Here is a 17,217-nt window from a genome sequence, read left to right on the forward strand (position 1 = left end):
TGGGAGGGGACCCTGAGGGCTAGAGATGACTGGGGATCTGGGCAGGGACCCCAAGGAGGTAGGCTTTTTCTGACTCCCCAGTCTTCTGGAGTTTTAGATGGTGTTATTTGTATCCCATTTGTAACTTACTGAGCTAGTAAATTAAATGTCAAAAAGCTGAGACAAAACTCAGACCCAATCTCTTTATCCCTCACCAGCCTGAAATCTCTAAGCTCCGGTAAGTTAAAATGGGTAGGCTTACTCCCCTCCCCTCCCTTCCCGAAAGCCCCCTTTAGAAAGAGATGAGGAGGAGGCAGGGAACGATGCCAGCAGAGTGGGCCTGCTCTACTATGCTTTGGGTGTTTGTGCAACCAGAAAACTTATATTGATAAAGAATTTTTACAATACACAAAGTGCTTTCAAGTGACACAAAAGATGTAATTATCATTTAACCCTAAAACAAAATAAAAGAAAAATGCAGAGAGGTAGGTAATGTTAGTTGATGGTGCTCATTCTATAGATAAGGAAACAGATTCAGAAAACTGAAATGGCAGACTTGATATTGGAACTTAAACCTTCTCCTGTGTTCTTTCTAATAATGCCTCTTGGTCCTGCTATTTCAGTGCCTTGGAGCCTAGGATTCCCCAGGTGCAAGAACCTTACCCCTTGGAAGTTGTGTCCTGGGGTCACGTCTCTAGCATTTGCCTGGGCAAAGAGGACTGCGTCATGTATGCTGGGAAAGACGTGCTTGCATTCTAGACTCCCATCCTCAAAGACGCCTCCATGGCTAATGTCATTGTACACCTGGGCTAGAAGGAGAAAAGATCACCTTCAGAAAGATAACAGCCATTGTGGATTGGAGCTGGGGGTGGGGAAGATAGTGAGACCAGAGCAGGGATGGGAGAGGCCTGAGGTCCCAGCTCTTGCTGTATCTGAGGGCCATGGCATTGGCAGTGCAATATCAGTTTTGGACGGCAGAGGGCAACATGAACTTGAGGATGCTGAAGTTTCAACCCAGAGCAGAAGGAAGCAGTTTGATTTAGGGAGTCAGTACTTTGTGGTGATTCGAGTGGAAAAGCCTAAGCCATCCTTGAAGAGGCCGCTGCCAGTTCTATCCCCCAAGGACCCATCCTTCCTCTTGTTTTCCCAGACCTTTCCAGCAACTTCCAATGTGTGGCATTGGAAGTTTGTGTGGATTACTCTTAATCCTAGAGATGGTTTCCTGAGGGGGTGTCCAGTGAGGTTGGGGAGAATCCACTGCTTCTAACTCCAGAACATATCATAGCAGGTCATTGCCACTGCAGATTCTCTCCCCGAACGTGGCCATGCGGAGCTTGGGAACTGCAGCCCTGCTGGAGGGGGTCTGACCCAGTGCAGGGAGCTGGGTGTGTGTGTATGTGCCCCTTCACATTCTCCTGTGTGTCTGTGTGCACTTGCTCCCACATCTCTGCACTTTGCGTACATGCTAGTCATGTAAATGTCTGCTGCCCTGTGGCCACGTCCTTGAGGCTGTGTATATGCACCCTTTGGAGGCTGTATGCCTACAAAACTGCATATTTATATGTTCCCTGGGGAATTAGGGTACCGTGTGCTCTATGCCTATATCGATTCACAGAGTTTCTGATTGGGAGAGGATCCCCAAATCCATCTAGTCAACCCTCTCGTTTTACATAGGTAGAAATAGATCCCTTGAGAGATAAAGTGACTCGGCCAAGGATACGTGGCAAATTAGTTATGGGGTAGATTAGAATCCTAGCTGTCCTTCTGTAACTCCATGACCTCCTCACCCCCACTCTGTCACTAAGGCCCCTAGGATGTTTATGCAATCTGACCAGTCTCTTTGGACTTGTACCTGAAGCTTTTATGAGCAGGCAGCAGCTTGTGGGGGATAGCTGGGTGCTCTCGTTTCCAACCTCCTCACTATTCAGACCCCACCAACCTGTTCCTACCCCACACTCCTTGCCAGTCTTTCAGTCCCTAAATGTCCTCTTTCTCTTACCATGGATGTTCACCAAGAAGACCTTCACGCCGATCTTCCCATAGGTGGAGCTCAGCTAGAAGTGTTGTTGGGGTAGGGAGGCAAAAGGAAAGGAATGTTCTGAGTGGGTCTCAAAAGTGATTCACAAAACGTACTTCAGAGGGGAAGCCAAACAAATAAGCAACCCTGAGAGCCCAGCAGCCAAAGACAAAAATAGCAGCAAAGCACACCACTTCTCCCTGGAGTGTTGGCTGACGGTTTCTCTGGGAAGTGGAGCGGAAATGGACTTTTGCCAACGTGGCGGGCACTTAAAGTCACCATGGCCCCTTCTTGTGGGGCTAGATATTTTCTTTTTTTTTCTTTTGAGATGGAGTTTCACTCTGTTGCCCAGGCTGGAGTGCAGTGGCGTGATCTTGGCTCGCTGCAACCTCCGCCTCCTGGGTTCAAGCAATTCTCTGCCTCAGCCTACCGAGTAGCTGGGACTACAGGGGCCCGTCACCACACCTGGCTAATTTTTGTATTTTTAGTAGAGGCGGGGTTTCACCATGTTGGCCAGGCTGGTCTTGAACTCCTGACCTTGTGATCCACCTGCCTTGGCCTCCCAAAGTGCTGGGATTACAGGAGTGAGCCACCACGCCCGGCTGATCTTTTCTTTCAGTAGCTTAGATTCTCAGACTTCTTTGTGGCTTCAGACAGAAGCTGCAGGGGAGGATGGAGGCTCAGGGAGTCTAGAGCTTCAGCCAAGGCTGGCCTGGACTCCAGATCCTGGCTAAGGAAGCCGGCTGAGGCCCAAGGCTGGGTATGGGGCCTGCCCTGCGCCTGGTTGATGGTGAAGGCAGTCCGAACACTCTCTGTGCCCATTGTTCCCCTGGCTTGCCTCTATCTGAGCCAGCTCTGAGGTTTGCTGACTCCCGCCATTGGCGGTGGCTGCTGGAAAGTTATCAGATGGATACATTCATTCAAGGTGTCCCGTGGGCTCTCTGTTTGGCCTGATGGTGTGGGGCACTGGTATTATTCCTTCTCCTGTCCTAGGGTGGCCGGTGAATGAGGGACAAGGGCAGCAGATCATGAACCAGGAGCCAAACCGGACCCTCCTCAGAGAACCTGGGTGGGTTCCTGATGGCTGAGAGGGACTTGGGATGGCCACTGCTGGGGGTGTTGGGAGCACAGGGGCCTGAAACTCTGGTAGACTTGTCCCGCCACTCATTGTCATGGGCCGTCTGGGCCTGCTCTGTGGAGAATGTCTCAACCTGGTGGCGTCTGGGGAAAGGAGGGATTCCTAGGAGCTGTTAGTCTCCCCAGTGAGCTTCCTCCCTCAGCTTCCTGAAATGAGGGCTCCCAGGAAAGGGAATGTGGAGAGCAGAGCGGAGGGGGTGGAGTGGGTGGTGCTTGCTGTTCCCGAGGGCCTCACCTTGGCCAGGGCCTTGATGCCCATCAAGTCCACGAAGCTGACTCCACTCATGTCCAGGATGAGGGTGTGGAAGGTGACGAAGGGTGGGACGCTGGCCAGCATGTCACTGGGCTCGCCGGGGGCCTCAGCGGAGGCTGGTGGCTCACTCTGGGCAGGTGAGGAGCTGTCAGGGCTGAAGGTGATATAGGACACGCTGGTGCCGTTAGCCGGGGTCTGGTTGTTGTTGGGGTCGGTGGGGGGCGCATTCTCAAAGTCCTGCTGCAGCTCCTGCAGGGAGACAGTCTGGAAGGGTGGGGACAGTGGGCAGAGTCAGGGACCACCAGACTGAGCCAGACCTTGCTGTGACTGAAGCAGGGGCATGGAGGGTGTAGGTGTAGGGGAATAACTCGCCTCGGTGATGGTGAACACAGACCCTGAAAGCTCCACCAGAGAGGCCTCTCCCAAAGCCCTTTCTTAGGCAGGGCCTGCAAACTTGGTCTCCTACAACCCAGACAAAGTCAGAGGACCCAGCCAAGAGAGGCACTGAAGCCTCAAGCCCACTCTCTCTGGGAGAAAGCCCCTCCGGGGACACTGAGCTCCTTTATTTCTTGAGACAGAGTCTCCCTCTGTTGCCTAGGCTGGAGTGCAGTGGCACTATCTCGGCTCACTGCAACCTCTGCCTCCCGGGTTCAAGTGATTCTCGTGCCTCAGCCTCCTGAGTAGCTGGGATTACAGGTGCCCACCACCACGCCTGGCTAATTTTTGTGTATTTTTAGTAGAGACAGCGTTTCGCCACGTTGGGCAGGCTGGTCTCGAACTCCTGAACTCATGAGAGTGATTCTCCCATCTCGGCCTCCTAAAGTGCTGGGATTACAAGGATTACTGCCATGGCCACCCCAGCCTTGCTAGCCCTGGGCTGCCTGGGTTCCCCAGGAAATTCACTGCTGTTCCCCCTCTGGGTTGTTCAAAAGTCCATGGGCCATGTCCTATCTTAGCCAGAAAATGGAGAAGGGCCTTGGGGGTTCAGTGGCTTCCCTGGGAGATGGTAGCACCTCATCCAAGAAGAAAAATGCCCAGGCTGGGCGCAGTGGCTCAGGCTTGTAATCCCAGCACTTTGGAAGGCTAAGGTAGGTGGATCACCTGAGGTCAGGAGTTTGACACCAGCCTGGCCAACATGGTGAAACCCAATATCTACTAAAAATACAAAAATTAGCTGGGTGTGGTGGCACCTGTAATCTCAGCGACTTGGGAGGCTAAGGCAGGAGAATCGCTTGAACCCCAGAGGTGGAGGTTGCAGTGAGCCAAGATAACGCCATTGCACTCAAGCCTGGGTGACAAGAGCAAAATTCCATCTCTAAAAAGAAAAAGAAAAAAAAGAAGAAAAATGCCCAGCGGCCACCAGGCAGTGTTCCCAGAGACTTTCTGTCTTTGCCTGTCAGGGTGGGAAGCGGGGCCCCCAGGGTACCATGAGTAACAGGGGGCAGTATCAGAATGGGCAGGAGAGCAGGGCACGGGGCTGCTTCTGGCCTTCATTCACCTTGGTTTTCATGAATAGAGACCTCCTCTGTTGTGTGGGCCTCATTCTCCGCTTCTCCTGCTTCTTGAGGTATTTTTGCTTGGCTAGTAATACTTTCTGGGGGTCCATGCCTGTCTGCAGGGAGAGAGCCAACAGCAATCTTGACCTCCACCCTCTATGGGAGTGGCCTATTCTCAGCTCCCACCGCCCTTCTGCTTCCATTTTCCGGCCACTCTCTGTCCAGAGCCTCTGGTCGCCAGGGACTGAGCCTTACCTTGGCGATGACCTTTTGCCTGAAGATCTCTGAGTTGGCAAAGTAGAGAGGGGAGCAGTACGTGATGATTTTAATCCCCTGGATATCCTGGGCCTGTGACAGGGAGACTGAGCTCAAGTTGCAGAAATGTCTTTATTGGCTTTAAAAAGCAACCTCTTCTTGGGGTGGTGCAGAGCAAAAGAAGGAGGTCATAAGCTTGAATTACCTACCCTATTATAGGTCTTGGGATTCACATAAATGTCAGTGTCCATGACCTGGGCCAGTGCATAGCCATTTCGACTGGATGAAGCAGGAAGAGAAAAACATAAGAGAATGCTAATGGCACATGGGCCTGGAAGGGTGCCCCTGCTGGGGCGGGGGCAGAGCCAAGGTAGGATGGGGTCCTGTCCTCACCCCCAGACTTGCTGTGTCTGTCTTTTTGCACTGGAGACACATGTCTGGTGGCCTGTGGCCTCCTATAACTATGAGGATGACAGGCAGGTCCTTGACATAGCTCCCAGACCACAGGGCAGGGGAGAGAAGTGGTGGGAGAAGTGGTGGGAGTCGCCCTGAAGTCATCATTTCCTTGTTCTGAGTTCTCAAGAAGAGAAGATAGGATTCCCCCAACATTCAGCGTACTCCCTGCCTGGGCCAAGACCCCTTCTCTGTAATACTCCCAGTGTGTAGAACACAGCTTCTGTCTTCCACCCTGGCGCTCTCCTGGGGTGGGGTCCCATTTGGTTTGGGGTTCTGGCAATGTCTTTGGAAGGATGTTGAATCTCACCACCTGCCCTTGCCCTCCTTTCTCTGCCACTGCCCTCTCCCCAGCCATCCCCAGCAAGAGTATGCTGGCTTTCTCTGGGGTTTTCAAGATATGGGAAGTCAAACAGCCCAGACTGTGCCCACAGTCCTGGCTGGGTTGGGCTCTCTTTGGGCCTGGCAGCACCTCCAGTGCCAGGCCCAGAGGTGGAAGGTACAGTGGACTAAGCCAGGCCGTGGCATGGAAGCCCTTTGCGGGCTGGCCCAGGGAACCGACTGTGGGCCTAGGAGGGCGGAAGCTATCACTTACAACTGAGTCTGGAAGACCACGACCAGGACGGAGAAGGCGACACCCACTGCCACACCATAGGGCAGGCTGAGGAAGAAGGAGGAGAGGAAGCTCACTACCCAGATGCACTGTGAAAAGAGAGATGTCAAAAGCAGACCTGGGGAAAAAACAACCTCTTTCAGGAAGTCTTCCTGGATTAGCCAAGGCCATTCTCTGTTAGTACAACCTCAGAGCCTCTCTTCTCTTTTTTTTCTTTAAATAGCATTTTTTGCAATATTTTATGTATTTGTGCTTTGGTTACACTTTCCTCTTTCCCTTAGATTGACTGTGGTTGCCTGATCTTGTCTGTGTTTTTAGTAGAAGCCCCAGCACACAGGGAGGTGGCATCTATAAGAGCATGCATCTTGGGTCAGATCTGTTTGGGTTCAAAATGTGTTTGTTTGTTTGTTTTTGGAGTCACAGGGTCTTGCTCTGTTGCTCAGGCTGTAGTGCAGTGGCAAGATCAGCTCACTGGAGCCTCAAACCCTTGAACCCAAGTTGTGCTCCCGCCTAACCTTCCTGAATAGTTAGGACTATAGGCACGTGCCACCACACCCAGCTAACTTTTTATTTTTCTAGAGACGGCTCTCGCTAAGCTGCCCAAGCTGACCTTGAAATCCTGACTTCAAGCGATCCTCCTGCCTCAGCCCCCTAAAGTGCTAGATCACAGGTGTGAGTCAGCACACCCAGCCCCAAATTTTGTTCTTTAATGGCTATGTGAAACAAAAGGAGAATAATAATGCCTACTTCATGAAAGGATTCAAAAGTTAAGGAATGTGACGGTCCTAGCCTAGTGATGGATGCTCAGTAGGTGATCAATAAATGTGAGTTCCCTCTCTCTGTCTCACAGCGAGCTGCGTGGGCCCTGACAGGAGCTCAGCAGTGCTTTCTGATCGGCTGGGGGCCTGGTTTTGTGTGTGGGTAGGGGGCAACATTGGGTGAAGTTTTGATAGTTGCCCCCTATAGATTTTAAGACCTGGAAATTCCTCTAAAGGAAATAAATCTGCCCAGATTCCTGTAGAGAATTGCTGTGAAGATCAAATGGAAACAAAAGCCGCCATATGAACCTAAGGGAATACCACCATAGCGGGGGCTTGTTGGGTTATGGTCAAAGCAGATCCTTGGGCTGGGAACTGAGGTATAATTTTTCTCCCTGTCCTCATCACTGTCTCTCTGGGTGACCACAGATGAGCCACTCACTTCTCTGGCTTTAAGGATTTTCTTCTCTGCCCTAGGTGGGTGAGACTGCCTTCCCTATGAGACAGTACAGCCTAGAGGTCTGGAGTCCAGGACTTGGAGTTTTAATCCAGACTCTACCACTCCCTACCTCTGTGGCCTTTGACAATTTACTTAACCATTCTGAGCCTTGGTTTCATCACCGTTAAGAAAGTTTAGTAAATCCTCTCCCATAGGTTATGGTGGGGCTTAAATGGAGAGAAGGCAGTGTCGTCAAAACACACTGGCCTTCATTACTATGCCCAGCGGATGATGCGGTGGAGTGTGTGACTAATCAGGACAATAAGTCATGTTTGCAGAATGTTTGCGCTCATGCGGTGTTTTCCCACTGGGATCTCATTTAATCCTCGGAACCAGCGTTTGACGCAACCATGACTGCATGAGTCTCACCCCCATTTACAGATGAGGAAATAGAACCCCAGGGAAGTCTAGTAACTTGCTCAAGATTTTGGTCCTCTGGCTTTATGTTCTAGGTTTTTTTTTAAAATACAAACTATTTCCTTTTGTTTTTTAAAGCTGTATGTCATAAAGTAGTCATAGCTAAGCTTTATTGAGTATAAAATACGATGTAGACAACATGTTTACTTGTATTACCTTGCTTCTTCTTCATAGAAAACCCTGGGAGGCAGAGAGCATAAAATAACCATTTGCCCAGTTAAGACACCAAGACTGGGAAAGGTTAAGGGGCTTGCTATTGGCCATGGAGCCAGCAGATGGCTGAGTTAGGGTTTGAACATAGGATGTTTCACTTCGAAACTCGGACTTTTAACCACTCATCTCATGCTAATTAGGAAGCAGCAGACTAGAGGGTTCATTGTTAGGACAGGGCTGACAGGGCTGTGGGGTTGGAGGAGAGGGCAGGGGCATGGCCAGTACCCAGAGGCTGCCCGATACTTACACAGTCCAGCTTGCTCTTCCTCCACAGGTAGTAGGGGTCGGTGAGTTGCTTGAGGGAGTTCTTGAGATTGACAGCGATCAGGGCTCCTAGCACAGACTAGAGAAGCAGAACATTGCTCCAGGACCCCAGGGTCTCCCCTTCTTTTTGCCCTCCTGCGCATACCCGACCCCAAGGCCTGGCAGGACAGAGACGGAGTTCTGGAACACCTCCCCTGGCTGATCCCCCAAATCTCTGCATTCGACCTTAGGTTTGGAAAGTGCTGGCGTTAGAGCCATGGGGTCCTTCCTGGCCCCATCCTTTCCCTATCTCTCTTCCCTCATCTCTAAATGACGCATGCCTAGAGCCCTCCTAGCTGGGCTATATAAGAGCCTGGTACTCGTGGGTAGGTGCAAATGTTGCCTAGGGATTAGACTCTGAGGCCAGAAGGCTGGAGTTTGGGACCAGCCCTGCGCTGTAAGCTGCCTCACTATGGACAAGGTTACTTAGACTCTCAGACTCAGTTTCCTTCACCTGTAAAATGGGGAGGATAAAACCTGCATTGTCTACCTCACAGTTTGTGGTTGAGACTAAGTGTGACAACAGTGGCACTTTGTGGTCCGTAAAGTGCCACACAACTCTCAGGGATTGTTCTTATTGGAGTCTTTCGTTGACTTCTGCTCGATGGCTGGGCTCTTACCTTAGGGAGAGGATACAGATAGATCCCCAGGACCAGCATGGTGATCATCACCACCAGAGACACACACAGGCTGGCCACCTATTCCGAGAAAGAGTTGGGGATAGAGGGAAGGTGTGAAATTTTTGCTCTTGATTTACTTCCAATCCATGGCTTTGGTGGAGTGGAGACTAAGACGGGAAGAAGGGGTCGGAGAAGAGCTGGCCTGGCTTGCAGTGCCCAGGCTTTTTTGGGGCAACTGTTCTCTTACCACCTCCCCCCAACTCCCCTAGAACAAGGCTCACCTGGGATTTTCCTCCAGCTCCATCCACAGCCAGAGTGACAGAAAGCGCACAGCAAATGACATGAATTTTAAAGAAGGAGCCAAAGAAGTTGCTGCAGCCGAGAGCGATCATCTCCTGCAGGGAGGGGACAGGATTAGAAGCCAGTGTGGGGCTGGGGGGCACGGGGACCAAGTGCAGTCAGGCATGCAAGCTGGACTGTGGGCCTAAGACCTGAGAGTGACCCAGTGGCTATAAAGTCACACATTCCCAGTCAAGAGGAGGTCAGCCTCTTAGGGTCAGAGGACCCCCTATCCCCCACACTCGAGGCAGCCTGCCTCACCTCAGCCCAATGATCTCCCCACCCAAGATATGTCATGCCAGGCCTGAGTTGACCTGTCCTGCCCAGTCCTGCCGGGGGTGGCCAGAGCTACCTGGTTCGAATCCACGTCGTAGCCGTGCTTGTTGGCCAGGGTCCGGCCCATAGCCAGGTTGATGACGTAGCTCACGATGGCTAGGGAGAAGGCTGTGCCTATCATGTCCTTCCACTGTGAGACCACAGGCGACACCGGGGTGGGGAACCTGCCGAGGAGCCAGGAAGGAGGCAGAACCCAAGGGTGTGAGTGGGGAGGGCAGCCAAGTCCTTCACCAGCCCACAGGGACCAGCCAGGCCCCCATGGTGTGCCGGGATCTTTGCCTAAGTTATCCCATCCAGTCTGAATCCTCAGCACCACCCCATAGGGTAGGGACCATCACTCCTGTTTTACAAAGGAGGAAACTGAGGCTGAGAGAACCTAACTTGCCCAAGGTCCCCGGGCCAGTATGTGGTAGGGCCTCGTTTGTTAACTCCCAGATTCTGAACCCTGTATGCTCACGAGTCCACAGACCCCTAGACCTTTGGTGCTATGTGGTCTTCCCTCCCTTGCCTGTTCCAACCCTGCAGGACAAGCGTCACCCCTCTCCTCCCAGGGCCCAGCATGGTGCCTGGCACAGAGTGGATGCTTCATGAATCTGGTTGAACCTAATAGTTCCCTTTCTACATGGACAAAGAACCAATGCATTAGAGCAAGGCAAAGAGCCAGCAAGCGGCTGTTCAGAGAGGCTTTGTTTAACAGCATCAGTTGAATGAGATTTATAAGGGGAGTGTGGCAGTTAAGACTCATTTCTCATAAAATAGCCTACATTGGCTGGTTGTGCGGCCCTTCTCAGGAAACGGTAATAGTAATAATTCATACATGGTCAGTGTCATACAGTTTCGACTGCACTTTCATAGAGTTCATCTTGTCTCCCTCTCCGAGCTCAGGCCTTAGTGGGGCATGAGGTGCGGGTGGGCCAGGCTTCTGGGCCACCTGGACTCACCCGCGTTGGATTTCTCCCACGATCTGCATGTGATACTTTTTGGGCATCTTACAGCCCCCGGAGATAGCTGTTGCCACCACCACCTGCAAACCCCAGAGTGGAGAATGGGGATTGGCCCTAAGGTGGGGCCAGGGCAGGCGTCTCTCTCAAGTCTCCCTTTTCTCTGGGGACCCTGAATCCCACTCCCCTGCCTCCTTAGGGGGAATTATTAGAGCAGTAGAAAGAGAGGAAACGCCACATACGGGGGATGGGATGGATTCACAACTGACTTCCTGTCCCACTGGCTGCCAGTTGAGGGGATGGGGTGAGGAAAGGTAGGGGCTTCCTCGTCTCACAGCCTGGCCCCCCAACATCCCAGCTCTGAACAAGGTCCTTACCACAATCATCTCTGTAGGGATGGGGAAGCGAATCTTGTGCATGTAGCGAGCATTGAGCTCCTTCACCAGCACCAGGAAGGCACCGCTGATGAGAGCGAAGATGAGCGAGGCGATGTTGGTGTGGGGGAGGTTTTTGCAAATGTCAATGAAGGTCTGGGGGAAAGAGCATCATGCTCACAGGCTCCCACCCCTTCTTCCCATAATACCCCACCTTTGGGTGTCTGACCCAGGGAAGGGATGCCATCAAAGCTAATGGAGGCACACCAAGACAGAATTAAAACCCTGATCAGGAACCCTGTCCCGTCGCCCACCGCCCTTTCCCAAAAGGCACATGGGGAACTTGTGCTAGAAAAGGAATGCTTTCTTTTTCTTTAGAAGAGTTTGGGCTGAAGGAGGAGGGATGGAGATTAGACATAAGGCAGGACTTTCCAGGCAGGGAGGGGTTGAGGCACTAGAATGGGGAACTGGCGGAGAATGTACAGCTCTTTTCTGCAGGGATTAACTACCAAGAACCTCTGTGAGTCATGACTTTGACCCTCCCAAGACAGAAACCCCCTCAGAATCCTCTCTGAACAACAGCTAAGCCAGCCCTTGCAATGAGGAGCTCACGACATCTTAAAACAGTACATCCTCCTCATGTGTCTGCTGGAGCCTTGCTCCAATGGCAGGGGTGCATCCCCAGACTCACAAAGACGATGGACCCTGGGCCTGTGTAGGAGGGGATGGTCAGTCCGAAGATGTACTTGAGCACCGAAATCAGGATCTGCAGGCCGGCGGCCGTCATGAAGCCCCGGATGAAGGACTCGGAGAGGTAGATGGCCACAAAGCCAAACTGCATGAAGCCCAGACCCATCTGAGAGGAGGAAAAGGGTGGTTGGTGGCGGAAGACCAATGTGGTTCAGCAGTTCCAACGACCCGCCCCACACACACGCAGGTCTGGAGCTCCGTGCAGTCCTAGCGTAGCAGTAGCTTGAGGGAATTGGACCATCTGTGACCTTCACCTGCCCTTCACTGTGCTCTACATGGCTGCCATCAGACCTTCAGCTCCTTTAGAGCATGGGCCTTTCTGTCACATCACCTCTCTGGCTTTGGCTTATCTGTAAAATAAGTCTAGTCCTCCCCCAGTGTTTTCTCTCTCAGTAAATGACACCATCATTAACCTGGTTGCCCAACCAAAAACTTGAGAGTCATCCTCCCTTACCTCCCACATCCAGTCTATCACCAAGCTCCTGGTAAAACATTCTTTTCAAGTCCAGCCCCATCTCTTTCTCTACCTGGTCTTCGCCTGCATTATTCCTGCCTGGGCCTCTGCAGAGTCTCCCAACAGGTCCCCTGCCTTGATTCTAATCCACCTCCCACTCATCATTGTGTAGCCCAAACGATCCTTATAAACTGCCAATCAGACCCAAAGTCGCTGTTCAGAGAACAGACCCCAGATCTCATTGTCTGGCTCCTGCCTACTTTTCCATCCTCTTCTGGGCCCTCTACCCTCCAGCCACACCAAGCCCCTTACTTTGCCTGCGCAGATCACACTCTCTCAGGCCTCAGTGTTTTTAGGCACTGTTCCTTCTGCCTGGACCATCCTCTGTATACCTTGTTCCTGGTTAAGTTCTCATCCTTTAAGAGAGGTGGAGTGTCACCTCCTCTTTGAGGTCCTCCGTGACTCTGCTCTGTGTCCCTACAGTCTTTGTACATGGCTCTACTTTGCTGCTTATCTCACTGCATACAAATTTATCTGTTGACATGGCTCCTTCCTCTGCTGGGCTGTGAGCAACTTGTGAATTGGACCTCTTTCTTACTTATCTTTGTATCCCAGGGTTTAGCCTAGTTCTTGGCACAAAACCGAATGAATGAGTGAATGAAAAGGCGCTCTCTGGGACTGCGTTTTGCTCTTGCATTCTGTCATGTTGTGCTTCCCTTCATAAAACCTAGCAGAATCCTTTGCAACCATTTGCAGAAGCTCAATTTATGTTGTGCAACTGCTGCTGTGGCTTGGAGCAGAGGAGGCTGGAGAGGAGTGAGGGATGTTAGAGAAAATTAGCAGTCTGCAAGACTATGCTGGCAGAGAGTTGGGTTTCTCCACGGGATAATGGAGAGAGGCTGTGAGTCTTTTACAGGTTTAAAGCTCAGGACAGTTTAACCAGGTACAGCTGTTGTTTTTTTGTATGGTCGTGCTACATGCAGATGAGGAGATACTGTTAATTTTCAAGGTTCACTTTAGCCCTGGGATGGGGAGGAGGGAGGAGGTGAGCCCTAACTTGGTTTTTTTTTTTTTTTTTTTGAGACGGAGTCTCGCTCTGTCACCCAGGCTGGAGTGCAGTGGCGCGATCTCGGCTCACTGCAACCTCTGCCTCCCGGATTCAAGTGATTCTCCTGCCTCAGCCTCCTGAGTAGGTGGGACTACAGGCGCATACTACCAAGCCTGGATTATTTTTGTATTTTTGGTAGAGATGGGGTTTCATCACGTTGGTCAAGGTGGTCTCAAACTCCTGACCTCAAGTGATCCACCCTCCTCAGCCTCCCAAAGTGCTGGGATTACAGGCATGAGCCTCCACACCCAGCCCCCTAAATCAGATTTAGCATCAAAGCTAAGGCTTTGAGGGAGGGGCAGGGTGGTCTGATGCCCTTCTAGCAGGGTTGGGGGCTGCCCCCTCACCTGGATGATGGCGGTGAGGCAGGCTAGCGTAGCTGACACGTGCAGCCTCTCAGCCTCCATGGCTGCTGTGTCCACATAGCTCTCATTGGTGGCATTGTTGAAGACCTGGAATTTCGACTCTGGGGCCAGCTGCAGACAGATGTTACCCACCAGGATGCTGATAACGGCAAAGGTACCTGTGGTGCCCCACCCAGCCAGCAAAAATCAGAGGTTTGAACCACACCGATGGAAACCAGAAAGGGGCCCAGGAATGCTTCCCGACCCCAGGGGGATGGATCCCTGCACCTCCAAGGCTCTTCTCCAACACAATAATAACAACCACTCACTCTAACCATGATCTATGCTTTTCAAGGTGCTTTTACCCCAATGGTCAATATTGTCATACAGGACACGTGAGAAAATGAACTCAGAAATAAGAAATATAAGCAGAGCCTGAACCAGAAACCAGCCCTTGTGACCAGGCTTTCCTCCATCTCACTTAGCACCAGAGAAGTCCAAATGTCCCTGTAGTGGCCGGCTGGGACCAACCAGGGAGTTAGATGGTGATTTCTCACATCTGTTTAAGCATGTTATAGCATATGGTATATCTTGTTCTGCTAAGTCTTCCTCTCATTCCTAGGAGGAAGATGGAACAGGTAATGCTAACTGAACTCAAAGAGGCTCAGTGGTTTCTCCAAGGTCACCGAGGACCTGGAAATGACATTCACAGTGACCATTCCCCTAGGACTGACCAGGAACAACTCCAGGAGAATGCAGATGGAAAATCTCCCGAGGCCCCTTTGCCACACCTCCCATCCTTGGGGTCTGGGTCATCCTGCCTGCCCAGAGGGGAGAGGCCTTACCTGGCACCATCTGGTGAACACCCCCCAGGAAGAAGTAGGTCAGGAGGGGGAAGAAGGAGGAGTAGAGGCCATTGACTGCAGGAAGGTTGGCCAGCAGAGCAAATGCCATGCCTGCAGAGGACAACGAGACTGAAGCTCAGCAGCATGACTAGCTTATGGGGATCACAGAGGGATGGAGTGGGGATGAGGAGAGGAATGGTGAGGGGAGTGGCAATCCAGGCCTGGCTGAAGGAGCCCCTTCACCTTGTGGGACCTGGATGGATCCCCCGCTGAGTCCACCGAGCAGGTCAGGAATGATGTAGTCTTTAATCTTGTACTTGGGGAGCCAGGAGAGCACAGGCAGCAGCCCAAACACCACAGCTTTGATCTTGGCTGAGGAACATCTGGAAGGGAACGGGGAAAATTTCCAGTCGGCTCTGCATGGCTTGGACATTCCGTGTTGGAGAGGGATTATCATATCCTGCTCATTTCATTCATTGGTTCATTCAAAATTCACTGAACTGTGTGCCAGGGATATTGAGAAGAAAAGGCAGGAACTTTTTCTTGAGAGCTCATCAACTTGTCCTGGGCATTAGCTGGAGGTCTTCTGACTGCCAGCTGCTTACCTGGGGAGTTTATAAGACTTGGCTTAAAGGTATGAGTGTTATGGTGGCTCAGCCTTCGGAGGTATCAGATCCATCCCTTGGCTCAGATGGCTTTTCTCTGGGAAAGTCTCCTCTGAGTCCTGTCTGTCTGATCCCAGGCCTGGGTAACTGCACCTTGGCTCCTGCCGCTGTGTGTGCATCCTGTGTGTGCATTCCTTGCTTTTTGTCTGTCTCTCCCACTAGGCAGCAAACCCCACCACGCATGGCAAGAAGTCTAGCTCTCCTGTTCATCTTTGTACACCTCGAGCCTTGCACAGGGGCACTTAGTAAATATTTGTTGAATAAATGAATGAGTGAATACACCCGAGTGGGGCCTGCCTGCTGCCATTTTTCTTAGAACTTCCTTGAAAAGGAAGGCTCTATTGTTCCTGCAGGGTGCACTCTGCTGACTCACTATCCTTTATGTGTGGTAACTCCAATACCGGAGTTCTTTCTCCTGTTAATTCACTGGGCAGCAGAGGAGGGAAGAATTCATTGGTCAACGCAGGGTGGGGAGAGTTGATCCCTTCCCTGTTTGTTGAACACCTCAAGGTCCTTTCATAGAAACTCAGGAGCGGTAGGAACAAGGGCTTACAAACTCAAGGGTGACAGCCGGTGGATTGATGACTGGAAGTGGGTGAGGGGCATTTGCTTTCCTTCTCCCAGTTGAGGGAACTCAAATACTTAGGGCCCATTTGGTGACTCACTGGCCTGCTCTGATGAGGCTTCCTTTCCTGCCCAGCACCAATTCCTGCTCTTTGCTCTTGCTCAACAATAGTTTCCCTGACACTCGGTCCCCTGGATGTCACCCAAGACTGAAACCAACAAAGACAATGCTTTGTACCTTGGAAAGTCTGGGCAGATTTTCTCTTCCAACTAACACTCCAAGAAAAAGCATCATCATCAATATCTTACCCCCTGTCCTTTCTGGGGCTCATGGGTGCCTCTGCCATCCCTGGGATGCTGGAAGGGGAGGTGGACGGGGGATAAATTGCTTAATGCAACTCTAAAGCCTTGCTTGAAGAGAGAACCAGCCCTGCAGGGGCTCCATCAGGTCTGTTTGTGGCAGAGAAAGCCGGACTTATGAATAGAGAGCTGGCTAGGGAAAGAAAAACAACTCATTTGAGGGCTAGTCCATGCCCAACCTTACTTGCAAGTCTGCTGTATGTTGGGCAAAGCAATCTGAAGCTTGAAAGAAGAACTGGAAACAGAGGCTGAGAGGGATTAGCTTTCTAGACATTCATTCATTCATTCATTCATGAAACAAATATTTATTGGTGCACCTTCTCTATGCCAGGCACTGTTCAAGGCTCTCATGCCAGTATCATAGGAATTGTTAGTTTGCTATATCCCTTTACAGCTTTCATTATCCTAATCTTTTAGGACAATAGCAGATCTTCTCATCCTCAGACTTTGTGCCCTAAAGTCTTGGGCACAAAGACTGGCAGAGACCACCTGTCTGAGGAGCACAGCTGTGAGGACAGACTGTAACTGGGCAGAAATGGAGCCTCCCAAGAGAAACAGGGCTGGGCTGGGGCTTTTAGTACAAACTCAAGTGGGTGATTCCCCCGGCCTGAACCAGTTCCACCTGCGTCTCCACTTCAGCCATTGCCAGTGACCTCAATCCAGGTAACTGAATCAGCCGTTTCCCCAAGGGAGTGAGGGAGAGTGAGTTGGCCTATAGCTGGGCCAGAGGAGGTCTGCCAGGAGTCTGGGAATGGGGAGGGTGACACCCGCAGCCCCAGCCTCCTGGGGTGTGGGTATGGATCACCTTGTGTAGCGCCTACTTAGGGACAAGGTTTCATACCCACCATCGCATTTCCAGGGAGATGAGAGTGGAAAGACCCTGGGCGCTGGTAGGACTACACCCTGGTAGGTCCCCTCAGGAAAGTTCAGAAATTTAGGGCCTCCTTTTGGCATTCTCTGGACCAAGTGGAGGAAGGAACATCCGGGAGGGAAAGGACAAAGAACCTGGGGTGATGGTAACTTCAGGTATTTTTTGTAAGGAGGGAACAGGGCATGGAGTAAGGGCTCTGATGCTCCCCACCCCTCCATAACGTAGATGCTCATCTACCATGCCTTAACAAACC

General features: G+C 51.5%; 1 protein-coding gene and 1 long non-coding RNA gene across 8 annotated transcripts in view, besides 3 other annotated features; one reads left to right on the forward strand and one right to left on the reverse strand.

Annotated features, from left to right (window-relative positions):
- The window catches only part of SLC26A9 (solute carrier family 26 member 9), a 30,405-nt gene that overhangs the window by 5,146 nt on the left and 8,042 nt on the right, over positions 1 to 17,217 (reverse strand). For 3 of the 6 annotated variants that reach the window (XM_011509121.3, NM_134325.3, NM_052934.4), the window contains 17 exons: positions 14,748 to 14,887; positions 14,505 to 14,615; positions 13,663 to 13,838; positions 11,695 to 11,859; positions 11,007 to 11,159; positions 10,630 to 10,712; positions 9,705 to 9,852; positions 9,295 to 9,408; positions 9,014 to 9,091; positions 8,338 to 8,433; positions 6,186 to 6,292; positions 5,347 to 5,416; positions 5,138 to 5,230; positions 4,885 to 4,998; positions 3,369 to 3,650; positions 1,979 to 2,033; positions 643 to 788 (listed from right to left, as the gene is read on the reverse strand). In XM_011509121.3, coding sequence (XP_011507423.1) covers positions 643 to 788; positions 1,979 to 2,033; positions 3,369 to 3,650; positions 4,885 to 4,998; positions 5,138 to 5,230; positions 5,347 to 5,416; positions 6,186 to 6,292; positions 8,338 to 8,433; positions 9,014 to 9,091; positions 9,295 to 9,408; positions 9,705 to 9,852; positions 10,630 to 10,712; positions 11,007 to 11,159; positions 11,695 to 11,859; positions 13,663 to 13,838; positions 14,505 to 14,613 — 1,989 coding nt within the window. In that variant the 5' untranslated portion in view covers positions 14,614 to 14,615; positions 14,748 to 14,887. Of the gene's footprint in view, positions 1 to 642; positions 789 to 1,978; positions 2,034 to 3,368; positions 3,651 to 4,884; positions 4,999 to 5,137; positions 5,231 to 5,346; positions 5,417 to 6,185; positions 6,322 to 8,337; positions 8,434 to 9,013; positions 9,092 to 9,294; positions 9,409 to 9,704; positions 9,853 to 10,629; positions 10,713 to 11,006; positions 11,160 to 11,694; positions 11,860 to 13,662; positions 13,839 to 14,504; positions 14,616 to 14,747; positions 14,888 to 17,217 lie in introns of those variants that run through there. The other 3 variants (XM_011509122.3, XM_047443936.1, XM_011509124.3) reach the window with 3 other exon arrangements.
- Positions 1,836 to 2,367: an enhancer, noted in NCBI's record as "H3K27ac hESC enhancer chr1:205889161-205889692 (GRCh37/hg19 assembly coordinates)". NCBI's record gives its function as "activates a minimal SCP1, AML or CMV promoter by ChIP-STARR-seq in naive H9 embryonic stem cells {active_cell/tissue: H9 hESC(naive)}" and the evidence as "EXISTENCE:reporter gene assay evidence [ECO:0000049][PMID:30033119]".
- Positions 2,368 to 2,898: an enhancer, noted in NCBI's record as "H3K27ac hESC enhancer chr1:205889693-205890223 (GRCh37/hg19 assembly coordinates)". NCBI's record gives its function as "activates a minimal SCP1, AML or CMV promoter by ChIP-STARR-seq in naive and primed H9 embryonic stem cells {active_cell/tissue: H9 hESC(naive and primed)}" and the evidence as "EXISTENCE:reporter gene assay evidence [ECO:0000049][PMID:30033119]".
- Positions 9,677 to 10,217: an enhancer, noted in NCBI's record as "H3K27ac-H3K4me1 hESC enhancer chr1:205897002-205897542 (GRCh37/hg19 assembly coordinates)". NCBI's record gives its function as "activates a minimal SCP1, AML or CMV promoter by ChIP-STARR-seq in naive H9 embryonic stem cells {active_cell/tissue: H9 hESC(naive)}" and the evidence as "EXISTENCE:reporter gene assay evidence [ECO:0000049][PMID:30033119]".
- Positions 16,716 to 17,217, forward strand: part of SLC26A9-AS1 (SLC26A9 and RAB7B antisense RNA 1) — a 43,183-nt gene continuing 42,681 nt past the window's right edge. The window contains exon 1 of one of the 2 annotated variants that reach the window (NR_110984.1): positions 16,716 to 16,756. This is a non-coding gene — a long non-coding RNA (SLC26A9 and RAB7B antisense RNA 1). Of the gene's footprint in view, positions 16,757 to 16,930; positions 17,000 to 17,217 lie in introns of those variants that run through there. The other variant, NR_110983.1, reaches the window with a different exon arrangement.

Source organism: Homo sapiens, chromosome 1 (genome assembly GCF_000001405.40).
Source record: "Homo sapiens chromosome 1, GRCh38.p14 Primary Assembly".
Classification (NCBI taxonomy): Eukaryota; Metazoa; Chordata; class Mammalia; order Primates; family Hominidae; genus Homo; species Homo sapiens.